The sequence below is a fragment of the Homo sapiens genome, chromosome 6 (assembly GCF_000001405.40).
Source record: "Homo sapiens chromosome 6, GRCh38.p14 Primary Assembly".
In the NCBI taxonomy this organism is placed as follows: domain Eukaryota; kingdom Metazoa; phylum Chordata; class Mammalia; order Primates; family Hominidae; genus Homo; species Homo sapiens.
Genome location: NC_000006.12, coordinates 116,249,539 through 116,266,855, shown reverse-complemented (window position 1 = coordinate 116,266,855; position 17,317 = coordinate 116,249,539). Strand labels below are relative to the sequence as shown.

The window sequence follows — 17,317 nt, the reverse complement described above, 5'->3', positions numbered from 1 at the left end:
TTTGCACTTTTTAGATATGTGCTGTATTTTTACAAGGATTTATTTCATCTGCTCTAAAAGTATTGATTGTAAAATAAGCCATTAGTTAACACTAAGAAAGAAAGTAAGAAAAAGAAAGAAAATAACTTTCAATTAAACTCTGACACAAAGCTTTCTAATTCTTAGGATTTTTATTGTATACATATTGAAAGACCTTTTGATTTTAAAAATGTAGTTTTATCATATATCACTCATAGGTATATATACAAAGTAAATTATGAGTGAAATAAACTAGTTTCACTATTCTAATTATTTTCCCATTTATAATAGTAATCTTAATTACTATTCAAAATTCTTGAATAATTTTGATGATGACAACATATCTTAGTAGAATGTTCTACTACTAATAACAGTATGCTTCTGAGATTTTTTCCCCTAAGCCTCCAGTACTCATTCTGCAAGTTTTGATGCTGGCACTTTCTTGACTTTACCAGAAGATATCAACAGAATATTTTCAGGGAACAAATAAGGCTTATTTTCCTTCCTCAAATGGCTCTTAAAGAGTTTACTGATTGAAACGTCAAGAGGTTGCAGTTGTCCAATAATGTCGGCAAGACTAACAGCCAAGTTCACACCTCCTGGATGACTAGTATACCATGACTGCTGTTCTGCTGGTAGCAGTTGTAAGATGCCATTGATTATATCATGGATAGTCATTTCAGAGATGTTAAAGTGTGGAAAAAGAAACTGGGTTAAAAGGGGAGAAAGCTGGGAACCCTGCATGGGGCTACTGCACACCAGGACTCATTCCTGGCTTCCACTGGCTCCAAGGGAATGGGTGAGTTGAACTGGCAAGGAGCAACCTACTCTCACGCGGCCTCTGGAACCCTGGCAGAAGGGAACCCCTTGACCACCATGGACACTCAAGGTGGCAGAGAGAGCTAATTAGAGAAGGGGTAGGGGCAGCAAGCCATCTGATGCAGAACCCAGAGGGTTTGATGTGGGAGCATCTGTAGCAGAGCACAACTAGGGAAGGCTGTCCCCTCTAGGCTTGACTTGCTCACATAGGAGATGTTAACCCTAGGGGAACTGTCAGATCTGAACTCTGCAGAGTGGTCTTGTCCATCAGACTGGGCAGGTCTGACTTGAGCACCCCTTGATTTGCTGGCCTCTCCTGGGGCCCCAGCCTGGCCATTCCTGCTTGCAGGGTGGTCTCGGGTTCCCTGGGGGCCCACACCATACCTTCTGTGCTGGTGGACCATGCTTAACCAGCAGGGAGCTCCAGTGGGGTGGCCACTACAGCCATGTGCCAGCCTGCATGCTCTCTCCTCATAATGCAGCTTCCCCTGGGCTCACACCAACTCCCCACATCACTTTGCTAGCACGTCTGTATGGGCAGATTCTGCTTTCACTGCCCCACCAGCATGTGGGAGTGCTGTCTACTCCACTCCCCCTGCTGACTGCCATTGTAGACAGAGCCTTGGTGGGCACAGAGCCAGCCAGCCCAGTCCCTGCCAGCACCCCACCCTTGCACTAACACTACACAGAGAACAGCAGATCCTTCCCTGCCCTGAGCAATCACTCCTGCTTGCAGGGCACAGAAAAGGCACCCAGACCTGTGCCCATCAGTGACCCACCCCTGAGTCAACACCACCTCCAGCATGACTGTGCACACAGTCACCATCTGGGGCCACTCCTTCCACTCCCCACCCCTGCAGCTGCATTTCCTCTGCCACTGTGGTGAATGCCTGCTAGCATGGCGCCTGCTAGCATGGCACCTGCTAGCACTCTGCTGCAGCTGTTACTACCACTGCTGCTGGCACATGTGAACGAAGACAGATCCCCCTGTTGCTGCAATATGAAACACTTTGGCTGATACCACCCATCAAAGTGTAGTGAACAGTGGTCCGGGAGCACCTCAGTTCCCCCAACACAGTGAATTCCTAACCTTGAGGAGCCAGAAAACAAAGTCAGGGCCTAATATAAGTTCCCCCAGAATTACAGCTTGAAGTGTAGGACTTGGGAGCTGAGTGCTGGCCCCATAAAAATCTTCCAGAAACACAGCCAGTTGGCTGAGTCCACCTTACACCACAAATGCTCAAGTTCATCAAATATAATAGGATAAAAGAAAAACCATCCAAAGGTCAGCAACCTCAAAGATTGAAGGAACACAAGACCACAAAGATAAGAAAAAAATCAGCACAAGAACCCTGACAACTCAAAAAGCCAAAGTGCCTTATTTCCTCCAAAGGATGGGCTCACATCTCCAGTAAGGGTTCTGAACTGGGCTGAGATGGCTTAAATGACATTCAGAATATGGATAGGAATGAAGACCATTCAGCTACCAGAGTACATTGAAACCCAATCCAAGGAAGCTGAAAATAATGATAAAACAATGCAAGAGCTGACAGACAAAATAGCCAGTATAGAAAAGACTGTAGCCGATCTGATAGAGCTGAAAAACACACTACAAGAATTTCATAATGCAATCATGGGTATTAATAGTAGAATAGACCAAGCAGAGGAAACACTCTCAGAGATTGAAGACTGGCTAGTCAGACAAGAATAGAGAAAAAAGAATGAAAAGGAATGAGCAAAACCTCTGAGAAATATGGGATTATGTAAAGAGACCAAATCTACAACTCATTGGTGTCCCTTAAAGAGATGAGGAGAATGGAACCAACTGGGAAAACATATTTCAGGATATTATCCATGAGAACTTCCACAACCTAGTGAGAGAGGCCAACATTCAAATACAGGAAATAAAGGGAACCCCAGTAAGATACTTCACAAGATCATCCCCAAGACACATAATCATCATATTCTCCAAGGCTGAAATGAAAGAAAAATGTCAAAGGTGGCTAGAGAGAAAGGGCAGATTGCCTACAAAGGGAAGCCCCTCAGACTTATGGTGGACTTCTTAGTGGAAATCCTACAAGCCAGAAGACATTGAGGGCCAATGTTCAACATTCTTAAAAGAATTTTCCACCCAGAATTTCATATCCAGCCAAACTAAGCATCATAAGCAAAGGATAAATAAGATCCTTTTCAGACAAGCAAATGCCAAATTTGTTACCACCTGATCTGCTTTACAAGAGCCCCTGAAGGAAGCACTAAATGTGGAAAGGAAAGATCATTACTGACCACTACAAAAACACACTGAAGTACACAGATTAGGGACATTATAAAGCAACCACATAAACAAGTCTGCAAAATGACCAGCCAGCTTCATGATGACAGGATCAAATCCACACACGTCATTACTAACCTTGAATGTAAATGGCCTAAATGCCCCAATTAAAAGACACAGAATGGTAAGCTGGATAAAGAATCAAGACTTATTGGTATGCTGTCTTCAAGAGACCCATCTCACATGCAATGACATATATAGGCTCAAAATAAAGGGATGGAGAAAATTCACCAAGCAAATGGAAAACAGAAAAAAGCAAGGGTTGCAATCCTAGCTTCTGACAAAATAGGCTTTAAACCAACAAAGATAAAAAAAAAAAAGACAAAGAAGGGCATTACATAATGGCAAAACAGTATTCAGTTCAATAAGAAGACCTAACTATGCACCCAACACAGGAGCACCCAGATTCATAAAGCAAGTTCTTAGATCCCTTCAAAGAGACGTAGACTCCTACACATTAATAGCGGGAGACTTTAACACACCACTGACAATATTAGATTGTTGAGGCAGAAAATTAACAAAGATATTTAGGACCTGAACTCAGCACTGAATCAAATGAACCTGATAGACATCTACAGAACTCTCCACCCCAAAATAGCAGAATATACATTCTTCTCATTCCCACATGGCATATACTCTAAAATTGATCACATAATTGGAAGTAAAACACTCATCAGCAAATGCCAAAGAACTGAAATTATAACAAAAAATCTCTTGAACCACAGCAAAATCAAATTAGAAATCAAGACAAAGAAATTCACTCAAAACCATACAGTTACATGGAAATTGAATAACCTGCTCCTGAATGACTTTTGAGTAAATAATGAAATTAAGGCAAAAATCAAGAAGTTCTTTGAAACTAATCAGAATAAAGAGACAACATACCAGAATCTCTGGGACACAGCTAAGGCAATGTTAAGAAGGAAATTTATAGCACTAAATTCCCACATCAAAAAGTTAGAAAGATCTTAAGTTAAAAACCTAATATCACAACTAGAAGAAATAGAGAACCAGGAGCAAACAAATCCTAAAGCATGCAAAAGACATGAAATAACCAAATCAGGGCTGAACTGAAGGAGATTTAGACACACAAAAAATTTCAAAGATCAACGAATCCAGGAGCTGGTTTTCTGAAAACATTAATAAAACAGACCATTAGCTAGACTAATAAAGATAAAAAGAGAGAGGATTCAAATAAACACAATCAGAAGTGACAAGGAGGATATTACCACTGATCCTACAGAAATACAAACAACCATCAGAGAATATTATGAACACCTCTATGCTCATAAAGTAGAAAATCTGGAAGAAATGGATAAATTCCTGGATACATACAACCTCCTAAGACTTAACTAGGAAGAAACTGAATCCAGGAACAGACCAATATTGAGTTCTGAAATGTAATCAGTAATAAAAAGCCTACCAACCAAAACAACAACAACAACAACAACAGAAACCCCAGGACCAGACAGATTTACAGCTGAATTCTACCAGATGTACAAAGAAGAACTAGTATCATCCCTACTGAAATTATTCCAAAAAAAATGAAAAGGAGGGAATCCTCCCTAACTTATTCTATGAGGCCAACATCATCCTGATGCCAAAACCTGGCAGAGATACAACAGAAAGAGAAAATTTCAGGCCAATATCTTTGCTGAACATCAATGCAAAAGTCCTCCACAAACTACTAGCAAACCAAATCCAGCCGCACATCAAAAAGCTTATCCACCATGATCAAGCAGGCTTTATCCTTGGGATGTAAGGTTGGTTCAACAAACACAAATTAATGATGTGATTCATCACATAAACAGAACTAAAGACAAAAACCATATGATTATATCAATAGATGCAGAAAAGGCCTTCAATAAAATTCAACACTCCTTCATGTTAAAAACTCTCAAAGTAGGTATTGAAAGAACATACCTCAAAATAACAAGAGCCATCTATGACAAACCCACAGCCAACATCATAATGAATAGGCAAAAGCTGGACACATTCTTCTGGAAAAGCAGCACAACACAAGGATGCCTGCTCTTTCCACTCCTATTCAACACAGTATTGGAAGTCCTGGCCAGGGCAATCAGGCAAGAGAAAGAAAGAAAGTGCATCCAAAGAGAGGAAGTCAAACTATCCCGCTTTGCAGACTACATGATCCTGTATCTAGAAAACCCCATAGTCTCAGCCCTTAAGCTGATAACATCAGCAAAGTCTCAGGATACAAAATCAATGTGCAAATATCACTAGCATTCCTACACACCAAAAACAGTCAAGCTGAGGGCCAAATCAGGAAGGCAATCCCATTCACAATAGCCACACAAAAAAATAAAGTACCTCGGGAGGCTGAGGCAGGAGAGTGGCGTGAACCTGGGAGGCAGAGCTTGCGGTGAACTGATATCGCACCACTGCACTCCAGCCTAGGTGACAGAGTGAGACTCTGTCTCAACAAATAAATAAATAAATAAATAAAGTACCTAGGAATACACCTAACCACAGAGATTAAAGTTCTCTACAAGGATAACGACAAAACACTGCTCAAAGAAATCGGAGATGCATAAAGGAAAAACATTACACACTCATGAACAGGAAGAATCAATATTGTTATAATGGTCCTACTGCCCAAAGCAATTTATAGATTCAGTGCTATTCCTATTAAACTACCATTGACATTCTTCACAGAACTAGAAAAACTATTTTAAAACTCAAATGGAAGCCAAAAAGAGCCCAAATACCCAAGGCAATCCTAAACAAAAAGAACAAATCTTGAGGCATCACACTACCCAACTTCAAACAATAATACAGGGCTACAGTAACCAAAACAGCATGGTACTGATACAAATACAGACACGTAGACCAATGGAACAGAATACAGAACCCAGAAATAAGACTGCACACCTACAGGTATCTGATCTTCAACAAACCTGACAAAAACAAACAATGAGGAAAGGATTCCCTATTCAATAGATGGTACTGGGATAATTGGCTAATCATATGCAAAAGAGTGAAACTGGACCCCTTCCTTATACCATACACAAAAATTAAATCAAGATGAATTAAAGACTTAAATGTAAAACCCAAAACTATAAAAACCCTGGAAGACAACCTAGGAAATACCATTCTGGACATAGGAATGGACAAAGATTTCATGACAGAGACACCAAAAACAATTGCAACAAAAGCAAAAATTGACAAATGGTATCTAATTAAACTAAAGAGCTTCTGCACAGCAAAGAAAACCATCAGCAGAGTGAAAGGACAATCTACAGAATGGGAGAAAATTTTTTCAAACTATGCATGTGACAAAAGTCTAATATCCAGCATCTATAAGGAACTTAAATTCACAAGAAAAAACAAAGAACTCTATTAAAAAGTGGGCAAAGGACATGGACAGATATTTTTCTAAGAAAGACATACATGCAGCCAATATTCATGTGAAAAAAAAAGCTCAACATCACTGATTATTAGAGAAATGCAAACAAAACCACAATGAGATACTATCTCATACCAGTCAGAATGGCTATTATTAAAAAGTAAAAAACAGATGCTGGCGAGGTTGTGGAGAAGAAGGAATGCTTATACACTGTTGGTGGGAGTAGAAATTAGTTCATCCATTGTGGAATATAGTGTGGTGATTCTTCAGAGACCTCAAAACAGACAGATTGTTTGGCCAAGCAATCCCATTAATAGGTATTTACCCAAAGGAATATAAGTCATTCTATCATAAAGACACATGCATGTCTATATTCACTGCAGTGTTATTCACATAGCAAAGCCATGGAATCAACCTAAATGCTCATCAATGATAGGCTAGATAAAGAAAATGTGGTACATATACACCACAGAATACTATGCAGCCATAAAAAAGAATGAGATCATGTCCTTTGCAGGAACATGGATGGAGCTGTAGGCCATTATCTTTAGCAAACTAAAGCAGGAACAGGAAACCAAATACCACGAATTCTCTTATAGGTGGGAGCTAAATGATGAGAACACATGGACGAACAACACACACTGGGGTTTATCTAAGGATGGAGGGTTGGGAGAGGGAGAAGATAATGAAAAATAACTCATAGGTACTAAGTTTAATATCTGGGTGATGAAATAATCTATACAACAAACCCCAGTGACACGTTTACCTATATATCCTGCACATATACCCCTGAACTTAAATAAAATGTGGGGAAAAAAGATGTGTCTTATAATCAAAGAGATATAAATGTGAATTGAAGAAATTTTGTCCTTTTCCTCCAGAACTTTATCATAAAGCTGCTCAAAATTTCAGAAAATCTATCTCAGAAGAGCATTGCTGCTTATGTCTCTAGTACCATACACCTATATCGAGTTGCATCAGTAGTTTCATACACTGGTAAGTCTACAGGTATAACCATTTAACTAATTTATCATGCTGTAAAGTGCTGGCATGTCAAAGCATTTATATTTTAAAATAGATATTTTAAAAATTACTTTCCTTTTATTTTTCCTTTAAATTACAAGTAAGTTTGCTCTTCCTGTCTGTGCCAGGGTGGCGCATGGTCTACGTCGAGCAACAGAGACACTCAGGCTGTGTTCTCACGATGACTGAGTGGGAGACAGCAGCACCAGCAGTGGCAGAGACCCCAGACATCAAGCTCTTTGGGAAGTGGAGCACTGATGATGTGCACATCAGTGACATTTCCCTGCAGGATTACATTGCAGTGAAGGAGAAATATGCCAAGTACCTACCTCACAGTGCAGGGTGGTATGCCGCCAAATGCTTCCACAAAGCTCAGTGTCCCATTGTGGAGCGCCTTACTAACTCCATGATGATGCACGGCTGCAACAACGGCAAGAAGCTCATGACTGTGTGCATCGTCAAGCATGCCTTCGAGGTCATACACCTGCTCACAGGCGAGAACCCTCTGCAGGTCCTGGTGAACGCCATCATCAACAGTGGTCCCCGGGAGGACTCCACACGCATTGGGTGCGCCGGGACTGTGAGACGACAGGCTGTGGACGTGTCCCCACTTCGCCGTGTGAATCAGGCCATCTGGCTGCTGTGCACAGGTGCTCGTGAGGCTGCCTTCCGGAACATTAAGACCATTGCTGAGTGCCTGGCAGAGGAGCTCATCAATGCTGCCAAGGGCTCCTCCAACTCCTATGCCATTAAGAAGAAGGACGTGTGGCCTTCTTGGAGCATGTGGCCAAGTCCAACCGCTGATTTTCCCAGCTGTTGCCCAATAAACCTGTCTGCCCTTCAGGGCAGCCCTACCAAAAAAAGCAAAAAAATTACAACTAAGTTATTATAATGACTTTAAAAAATGTGCATGTTGATATACAATATGAATTTCAAGAAAGGAAAAGGGAGTTATAAAGCACGTTATAAAAAGAAATATCTGGCCAGGTCCGGTGGCTCACACCTGTAATCCCAGCTCTTTGAGAGGCCAAGGCGGGCAGATCACCTGAGGTTGGGAGTTTGAGGCCAGCCTGGCCAATATGGTGAAACCCTGTATCTACTAAAAAAAAAAAAATTAGCCGGGCATGGTGGCAGGTGCCTGTAATCCCAGCTACTTGGGAGACTGAGGTAGAACTGCTTGAACCCAGGAGGTGGAGGTTGCAGTGAGCCAAGATCTTGCCACTGCACTCCAGCCTGGCTGTGACAGAGCGAGACTCCATCTAAAAATAAAATAAAAGTAAAAAATAAATGTTATATCTGATGAGCTGAGAACTGTTAAGGCATTGAAACACAGAATCATGAATTCTTGTTTCTCTTTAGTAATTGGGCACTTCCTCAACAATTGTCACTAATTTTATGGATGGGGGCAGGCTATAGACTGAGTGTTTTTGTCCCCTCTAATATATTGAAACCTAATCCCCAATGTGAGAGTATTTGGAGCTGGGGTCCTCTGGGGGGCAATCGGTGCCCTATAAAAGAGACCTCTGGTTAGAGCCCTAATGAGATTAGTGCCACTATAAAAGAAACCCCAGAGAGATCCCTCACTCCTTTTTGCATGTGAGGACACAGCAAAACAAAACAAAACAAAACACAAAAAAACAACAAACTACAGTCTAAGAATCAGGATGTAGGCCCTCACCAGACACCAAATCTGTTGGTGCCTTGATCTTGGAATTCCCAGCCTTCAGAACTGTGAGAAGTAAGTTACTGTTTACAAGCCACCCACTCTATGGTATTTTGTTACAACAGCCTGAATGGACTAAGACAGGTAAAGGAAAAGAAGATAAAGAAGAAAGTTCAACATTAAATTGGGATGGTCATGTAGTCTTATTTCTAAGAAGGTGGCTTTTCATTTTATGGGTTGTGTAAGGTTGCAGAATACTATGGTGAATGAGTGCACAGGCTCTCCAGTCAGATTACCTCGTTCAGATTGTGGCTCTACCACTTGCTGTGTGATCTTGGATAAACCACTTTATTTCTCATTGCCTCAATTTCTTCTGAGGCATAGGGAAGGGGAGGTCATAATATCACCTCACAGGGTCCTTGTAAAAATTAAATGAGATACACATTTAAGCACATAAAAGTATATGGTATATAGAAAACACTAAATAATGAACCAGAAACTATATCATTCTGAAAAAGAAACTGCTGGTCAAAGATGTAACAATAGGGGATATTTCACAAATTTTCCAATCTTTATACTTTAGTAAAGTCATTCCTGTTTGACTGTATTAATTTATGTTTGAACTTCCATTAAATATCTTTTCTCCTTGCAAATAAAAATTACCTCATAGATTTTCATGGCATTTTCTATCGATATTTTCCCATAGAATCATAAGTCACTGATGTAGTTTTTTCTGCTTAGTAAGGTTTATTGCCAATTTCCAGTAGAATAGACTTTACTGTGTACAAAATATATATTATTCTAATGTGCAAAAAATGTAAAATATAACTCATAGCTACTATTATATATCCACCCACCTCAAAATGAAACACAAGGGTAGTCATACTATTCATTTTGGTAAAATTTTTTAAAATTTTTATTTAAATTTAAATTTTCACTTAAATAATCAAGATTCATTAAAACATTCTATGAGATAGTAACTGGACTATACTGTCGTAGATGCTACAGAAGCTGCTATGCAGTCATTATCTAGCTGGGATAAAACTGACCTTAATGAAACAACCAATAAAGTTAAAAAGTAGAGGATAAATAAGTACGGTCATTTGCTGCATAACATTTTGGTCAAAGATGAACTGCATATACAAGTGTGGGACCATACAATTGTAATACTCTATTTTTACTGTATCATTCTTATGTTTAGATACAAAAATGCTTACCATTATGTTACAAGTGCCTACAGTATTCAGTACAGCAACATGCTGTTCAGGTTTGTAGCCTAGGAGCAATATGATATACTATTTAGCTTAGGTGTATAGTAGGCTATTGCAGCTAGGTTTGATAGATGTACTGTATGATGTTTCCATAATGACAAAATCCCTGTCATTCAGTGAAACGTAACTGTACTAAGTTGGATAGTAAAAGTCATAAGGGCTATACAGAAATCAGAAGACTGTCAAAATGGCAAGTAATTAAGGAAGGAGGTAAAGTAATAAGGTGGGAGGAGGCAATCTGCCAATTAATACATATGTGACCATGGGCATGTTAACTGCTCTGTGCTCACTGGGTCTTTGTTTATAAAATCTAATGTATTTAAACTGCCTAGTACAATCTACATGAACTGAGTGTTAAAGAATGGCCAGGTGGTTATGAGTGAAAAATGATTCAGGTGACAGAACTAATACAGGCTAGAGATGGGAATGCTTTGAGTAGTAGAGATATAAATCTTTAAAAAACTTTGGCACACACAAAAAGAAAAAGAAGTTCACATGTAATTTTATACTTTTCTATAAATTTGTATAGTAGCAAACTTGTTTTTTCCTGCTGCATGGAAAAGTAACTTTCATTCAGTATTCCCTGCTTCTCTTCATCTTGACTCAGGTTATAATGGAAAAGTTACTCTTTCAACAGTGCAAAGGTTCTTTGGAAAAGAAACAGAGCAGTGTCAATAATTCAAAGTCACAAAGTCAATTATAGCACGCTGTTTATGTGTTTACAAAGACGATACCTCAATAGATTGATTTCACCCCACAAATAAAAAAAGAGCGTTTATTAAGACAAAGAGGAAAGAGGGAGAGAAAAATAATTGCTCTCTGCTGTGTGAATCTTGTTTGCATATTTCTTATGGGATAACTGATTAGCTGGCAGGCAGTAAAGAGGTCATTCTGGACACATTGTCCTTGGGTAGGCTGACTAGGCATACAAAAAATCCTGCAAGGCAGGCTGTTTCTCCGTATTGTCTGCCAGTGACCTTTCATCAGTACTTTATCTTAGTTGAACCAGAACTACACTCCTTCCCTCGCTAGAAGTCTCAGTATATATGATGTATTCCTCTAAGAGGAATCCTTTTTCTCTAAATCTGTACTTCTGAGCCTGTATTTGAAAGTGATCATAATCTGGGGGGCTTAAAATGGAGTTTCTTTTACAAAGAGTTATAATCATAACCGTTTATTTGAATATAAATTTGACATTAAACATAAATATGCAAAATTTAAATTTCCCTTTGGTCTTGCATTTTTCTAAGGATTAACACCATTATTCTCACACTCCAACAAACTAATATATTGTACTGATAATCACTATCAAATGAATTGTAAGAGCTAACTGACTCGAATAGACAATAACTAACCTTACTTTTAAAGTATTTTAAGAGACAGTAGCATAGATGCCTGCACATAGCTGATTATTGCTCCTGTGCTGCAGTGAATTACCACATGAACACATTTTGAAAAGATTTGTTAGCTTCATGTCCACAGGCATTATGAAGCAGGAACCACTTTTAGATTAAGATTGTAACCTGAGGAAAAGAACATATGCATCAGTTTAGAAATTAAAATCCCCTGAGATATTTCTTTCAGTAATGCTTAAAAGCCTAAATTTGTGCTCGTGTGCCAGTCACCTCTACGTAAGGAAAAACATTTTGCTACTCTTTGTTAAAAGTGAAGAGGAAATATTGTCCACTTGTTTTGTAGATGTTGGCCAAATTATATAAACTTTAAAATCTGTAAGACAAATTGAAATATTCCTTTATTATGTCTTGTTAGGATGAGAGAAGTTTGCCTTTCAGCTGCTCCTTAATTTTAAAAATAACAACACAGCAACACTTCTCTTTAAAATCAAACTCTGCTCATTTAAATTCTTTGGTAATAGCCATGAATCCACACCTTAAAAGAAGGAAGGCCTGTGAGTTCGTGAATCCACTTTCCTACTCAGGAGAAGCCCTATGAACTGACTTGAATAGACAGTAACTCACCTTAAAGTAAATATTTTCAGAAACAATAGGTTAGGTGCCTTAGAAATTCATTCAGAGGCTTAGAAATCCACATTAACACAGTTCTTACATGCTTGAGTCTGGTCTACATCCATTTACGTAAGTAAAACTCCCCTTCCAGACTGACGAAATTCTTTTTGTGACAAGAAGACAAAGGAATACGATGGATTGATAAGCGTAGTCAACCGCGCAGAGAGTTCTCGCGCGATGTTACGACGCTACCGCCCTGACATCACCAGTTGCCATGGTAGCACCGCCGAGAGTAAAGGAGGGGTGGTGCTAGACGTTTCGGGCAGAGCTCGGCCGCTGCGGAGGACAAGGAACTCTCCCTCTCCCACTAGTCTGACTTCTTCCAAAATGAGCGGCCTGGATGGGGGCAACAAGCTCCCTCTCGCCCAAACCGGCGGCCTGGCTGCTCCCGACCATGCCTCAGGAGATCCGGACCGAGACCAGTGCCAAGGGCTCCGTGAAGAAACCGAGGCGACACAGGTGATGGCGAACACAGGTGGGGGCAGCCTGGAGACCGTTGCGGAGGGGGGTGCATCCCAGGATCCTGTCGACTGTGGCCCCGCGCTCCGCGTCCCAGTTGCCGGGAGTCGCGGCGGTGCAGCGACCAAAGCCGGGCAGGAGGATGCTCCACCTTCTACGAAAGGTCTGGAAGCAGCCTCTGCCGCCGAGGCTGCTGACAGCAGCCAGAAAAATGGCTGTCAGCTTGGAGAGCCCCGTGGCCCTGCTGGGCAGAAGGCTCTAGAAGCCTGTGGCGCAGGGGGCTTGGGGTCTCAGATGATACCGGGGAAGAAGGCCAAGGAAGTGACGACTAAAAAACGCGCCATCTCGGCAGCAGTGGAAAAGGAGGGAGAAGCAGGGGCGGCGATGGAGGAAAAGAAGGTAGTGCAGAAGGAAAAAAAGGTGGCAGGAGGGGTGAAAGAGGAGACACGGCCCAGGGCCCCGAAGATCAATAACTGCATGGACTCACTGGAGGCCATCGATCAAGAGTTGTCAAACGTAAATGCCCAGGCTGACAGGGCCTTCCTTCAGCTTGAGCGCAAGTTTGGCCGCATGCGAAGGCTCCACATGCAGCGCAGAAGTTTCATTATCCAGAATATCCCAGGTTTCTGGGTTACTGCCTTTCGAAACCACCCCCAGCTGTCACCTATGATCAGTGGCCAAGATGAAGACATGCTGAGGTACATGATCAATTTGGAGGTGGAGGAGCTTAAACACCCCAGAGCAGGCTGCAAATTCAAGTTCATCTTTCAGGGCAACCCCTACTTCCGAAATGAGGGGCTTGTCAAGGAATATGAACGCAGATCCTCTGGCCGGGTGGTGTCTCTTTCCACTCCAATCCGCTGGCACCGAGGCCAAGACCCCCAGGCTCATATCCACAGAAACCGGGAAGGGAACACTATCCCTAGTTTCTTCAACTGGTTTTCAGACCACAGCCTTCTAGAATTCGACAGAATTGCAGAGATTATCAAAGGAGAACTGTGGCCCAATCCCCTACAATACTACCTGATGGGTGAAGGGCCCCGTAGAGGAATTCGAGGCCCACCAAGGCAGCCAGTGGAGAGCGCCAGATCCTTCAGGTTCCAGTCTGGCTAATCTCTGTCCTGTGAGAAGCTTCTGCACAAGTTTCCTTACCACCTCCTCTTGGACCTATGCTTGGCCAACAGCATGCAGTCTTCCATCTGCTTTCTCTTCATACTGTGGATTATCTTTTCCTTTGGTTCTAAATCTTCAGTAATCGGTTGCAAGATTGTTGGCTTACCTGCCTGTGCCATTCTTCCTCTGGGCCTTCATGCTTTTCTGCATTGTGTTAACATGTTTCAAGTGCATGGCCTTCTACGGCTTCTATGCCAAGCGTATGATACTATAGATATAGTGTACCATACTGCCTTTCTTTGCATGGCTTGGACCCTATCTGTGACCATGCTCTTCTCCCAATTTAAGTGGTTCTGTACCACAAAGAATCTTGATACATTTTCACAAATAACTGATTGGGCTTCATACTTTATGCTGGCTGTGTCCTGATACCCATGTACTTATGGTAAGCTATTTGGGTATTACCACTGCAAGACAAAACTGATATCTTAACCCGGCCATCAACCCAAATTGGACATTCCAGACTACCACCAACTGGATCCCAGCTGCCTTCCTGGGCTTGTGCCATCCACCCTACTGGTTATCTGATAGAACAAGCTGGTGGCTGATGGGTGACTGCTAGGCGTGACTGAGGTAATAGATGAAAAGTGTTCTATGTTATCACATTGGTTTTCCTGTACCTTTGGTTACTCTACGTCATGACCAGCTGCTGGTGAGTATGAAGCCTGTGCTATAGCCCACCCCTACTCACTCTCACCTTCTGGTTGAACTTTGCTTAGGCCACCATTGTCTGCCTCATCAGGAACTATCTGTAGACGTAGCTCCCAGGGAGCTCACAGCAACACCCCCTACCACCAGGATGGGCAGTAATATGTGACAGAGCCCAAAGCAAGGCTGGAACGCAGTCCCTTCCAGCTTAGTCTTTCTGACTCCTAGCCAACAAACCATCCTTAATGTGAGCAACTTCTTTAGGCATTTCCTCTTTTCCCCGCCTGCACCCACTCTGAACATGACAAAAGTTGCCAGAGTTGGGGCATTGAGGAAGAGATATTTCTGGAATGTGAGACTTGTTATGCCTCTGTCTCTTTCTCTCCCTCCTCCTCCCCTCTCCCTCCCCCTCTCCCTCCCATCCCTTTTCTTCCCTTTCACTCTGAAGCAGTTTTAGCTTATTAACAGAAAACAAAACTGGCAAAGCAGGCTTTTTGTTTAATTTGCTCTTTCCCTGATTGTGTTCAGAGAGAAAGGTTATGATTAAATGGGCTCCAGATCTCTTATTGCCCTTATTCCTCCACCCCACTTCTTTTAGCAAGGTCTGAAAGTTTCAAAGGGAGACCTATAGGTTAATTGTTTAGTTATAGGCAGTGTTAAATTAGGCAGATTTTGACATATTTATCTTTTTACCCCATCCATTCTACCAAAACCTGTGTATTTCTTGAGTTTTTAGTTTGAGAAGCTGGAAAGAGAGAGAAGGGCCTCACAGTGATGGGTTCAGGACGGGTCAAAGGCAAAGGCCTTTGTGATGTGAGCAAAGGCAACCAAAACTTAGCCTCACTCCACTTTTCTAAAGATGGAAATTCTTTTTTGGGCCTTGGACTGCTTCTAGGGTAGCATTTTGTAGGTCACTCTTCTCCTTTGTACTATTTTGTTTCTGCCCTGATGTCCCTTGGGTCTCCATCCTACTGCCTGGCTTTCTTGGCCCTCATTTCTCAGCTTCTGCATTTCCTTCCCTGCTCCTAACAAATGAAGAAGCAGGCTGCAGCCTGCATTGTGGAAGATCTCCAGCCTCCTTGTAGGGGATAAGGGGATGTGCAGCATCTGTGTGGATTTTCACGGACAAGTTCCAGTAGGTGGGACAGTGATGCCGTCAAGGCTTAGTTATGATCATGTGTGGTGATAAAGACCATCCACCATCACCCTTTTCCCCTTTGGTTTTGAAGGCCTTGCCCTAAGCTACCTGAGGGTTTAGGAGGTCTGAACACACACAGTGGAGAGGTTAATCTAGGTTGGGAAACTGAGTAAAAGTCCAGAGCAGGAATGAGCCTGCTGTGGCGTGGGTTTGGAAAGGCTCACAGGAAAGAACCTGCAGGATCAGGGGTGGGAGGGGAGGCCCCTGAGGTGCTCTCCAGGGAAGAGGGGCTGGGGTTTAAATAGCATGCTTGGAGGAAGATTTTCCTTCAATTTTTCCTAAGTCCTTGAATTCACCAGTAGATTTTTGTAAACAAAATGTAAGTCGATGTTTTCTCTCAATTATCCTAGGAGTGACCTTTATATGTGTGGAAGATTAATGGTATATGCTCCTTATGTCACTGTTTTTGAGTAAAATCCATTTCCTTTCTCTGTTTCAGCCTATGACAAAATTGATGTTTACAGGCCTGCTTTTTGCTTATAATTGACAACATGTGCAAAAATACCAAATTTGTGTCCTGTGCAGTATGAAGAATTCAGTGAATATTCATTAATGTATTAGCTTGTTTTGCTCTCTGTTCATATATGGCTCTATTCTTAGAAATATAATTTGAATGTGATCTTTCAATAGTCTGAATATTTTACAAATTATAGCTATGTCTTGTGAAAATAACCTCAAAAAGAAAAATACGACTCTGTTGTCTTACTTGATATTTCTTGCCCTAGTAATGTACTTGACATTTATGTTCCTAAGCAGTGTAAGTACCAGTAGAATTTCTCTGTCAAACTCAATGATCATTTAGTACTTTTGTCTTCTCCCATGTGCTTGAAGGAAAAATAAAGTGTCACTACCGTATTTCTTGTTTTCATCAAAAAATAAAAATAATTTAAAAAATTCTGTGTTGTCTAGGTTAATTTAAGGTTGGGAAATCATTAAAGTTATCAAATGATACCAGTAACTATCATCCTGAAAGTTTAAAAAAAAAAAAAAGGCAACAGCCACCAAACCTTCCAAGATTTTTCACCTGAAAAATGGTAAATGGGAGCCCAACTGCAACTGCATACTCATGAGCATTATTTTTTCTACATAACCAGTGCAGTTTTTGGTGGTAATTGAAGCACCATATAGTATCACTTAAAATACTGTTTTCAGTGGAAAACTTGTCTATGCAGCATCCTTGTTCATTACATTTATTATTAACTGTGCCTTCCGAGATCTAATAAGCTTAAGATAGACTTTTGGAAGAATTAATTATTGTGTATTCTGTCAGTGCTACTTAACATTCTTTTCTTACACCAATGTGTGGCTTTAAAAAGAAT

At 41.2% G+C, this 17,317-nt stretch overlaps 2 protein-coding genes and 2 pseudogenes across 8 annotated transcripts in view, besides 2 other annotated features; 2 read left to right on the top strand and 2 right to left on the bottom strand.

The window, feature by feature from the left end:
• Positions 1-12,685, bottom strand: part of DSE (dermatan sulfate epimerase) — a 190,691-nt gene extending 178,006 nt beyond the window's left edge. For 5 of the 7 annotated variants that reach the window (NM_001374520.1, NM_001322937.2, NM_001374521.1 and 2 more), the window contains exons 1-2: positions 12,473-12,685; positions 7,889-8,410 (exon numbers count right to left, since the gene is read on the bottom strand). The gene's annotated coding sequence lies outside the window, so the exon portion shown is untranslated. Of the gene's footprint in view, positions 1-7,888; positions 8,411-10,110; positions 12,017-12,472 lie in introns of those variants that run through there. The other 2 variants (NM_001322938.2, NR_136520.2) reach the window with 2 other exon arrangements.
• RPS5P1 (RPS5 pseudogene 1) lies at positions 7,669-8,411 on the bottom strand (annotated as a pseudogene).
• On the top strand, positions 7,669-8,411 carry LOC100287430 (ribosomal protein S5 pseudogene; annotated as a pseudogene).
• Positions 12,410-12,639: an enhancer, noted in NCBI's record as "active region_24982". NCBI's record gives its function as "activates an Ori minimal core promoter by ATAC-STARR-seq in GM12878 lymphoblastoid cells {active_cell/tissue: GM12878}" and the evidence as "EXISTENCE:reporter gene assay evidence [ECO:0000049][PMID:35858748]".
• Positions 12,781-16,892, top strand: TSPYL4 (TSPY like 4). Its single transcript, NM_021648.5, has one exon. The coding sequence runs from the start codon at positions 12,848-12,850 to the stop codon at positions 14,090-14,092; it is 1,245 nt and encodes a 414-aa protein (NP_067680.3). The 5' UTR covers positions 12,781-12,847; the 3' UTR covers positions 14,093-16,892.
• Positions 13,050-13,209: an enhancer, noted in NCBI's record as "active region_24981". NCBI's record gives its function as "activates an Ori minimal core promoter by ATAC-STARR-seq in GM12878 lymphoblastoid cells {active_cell/tissue: GM12878}" and the evidence as "EXISTENCE:reporter gene assay evidence [ECO:0000049][PMID:35858748]".

Coding starts and splice junctions, on each gene's coding strand:
- TSPYL4 (NM_021648.5), top strand. CDS start 12,848: ATGAGCGGCCTGGATGGGGGCAACAAGCTCCCTCTCGCCCAAACCGGC.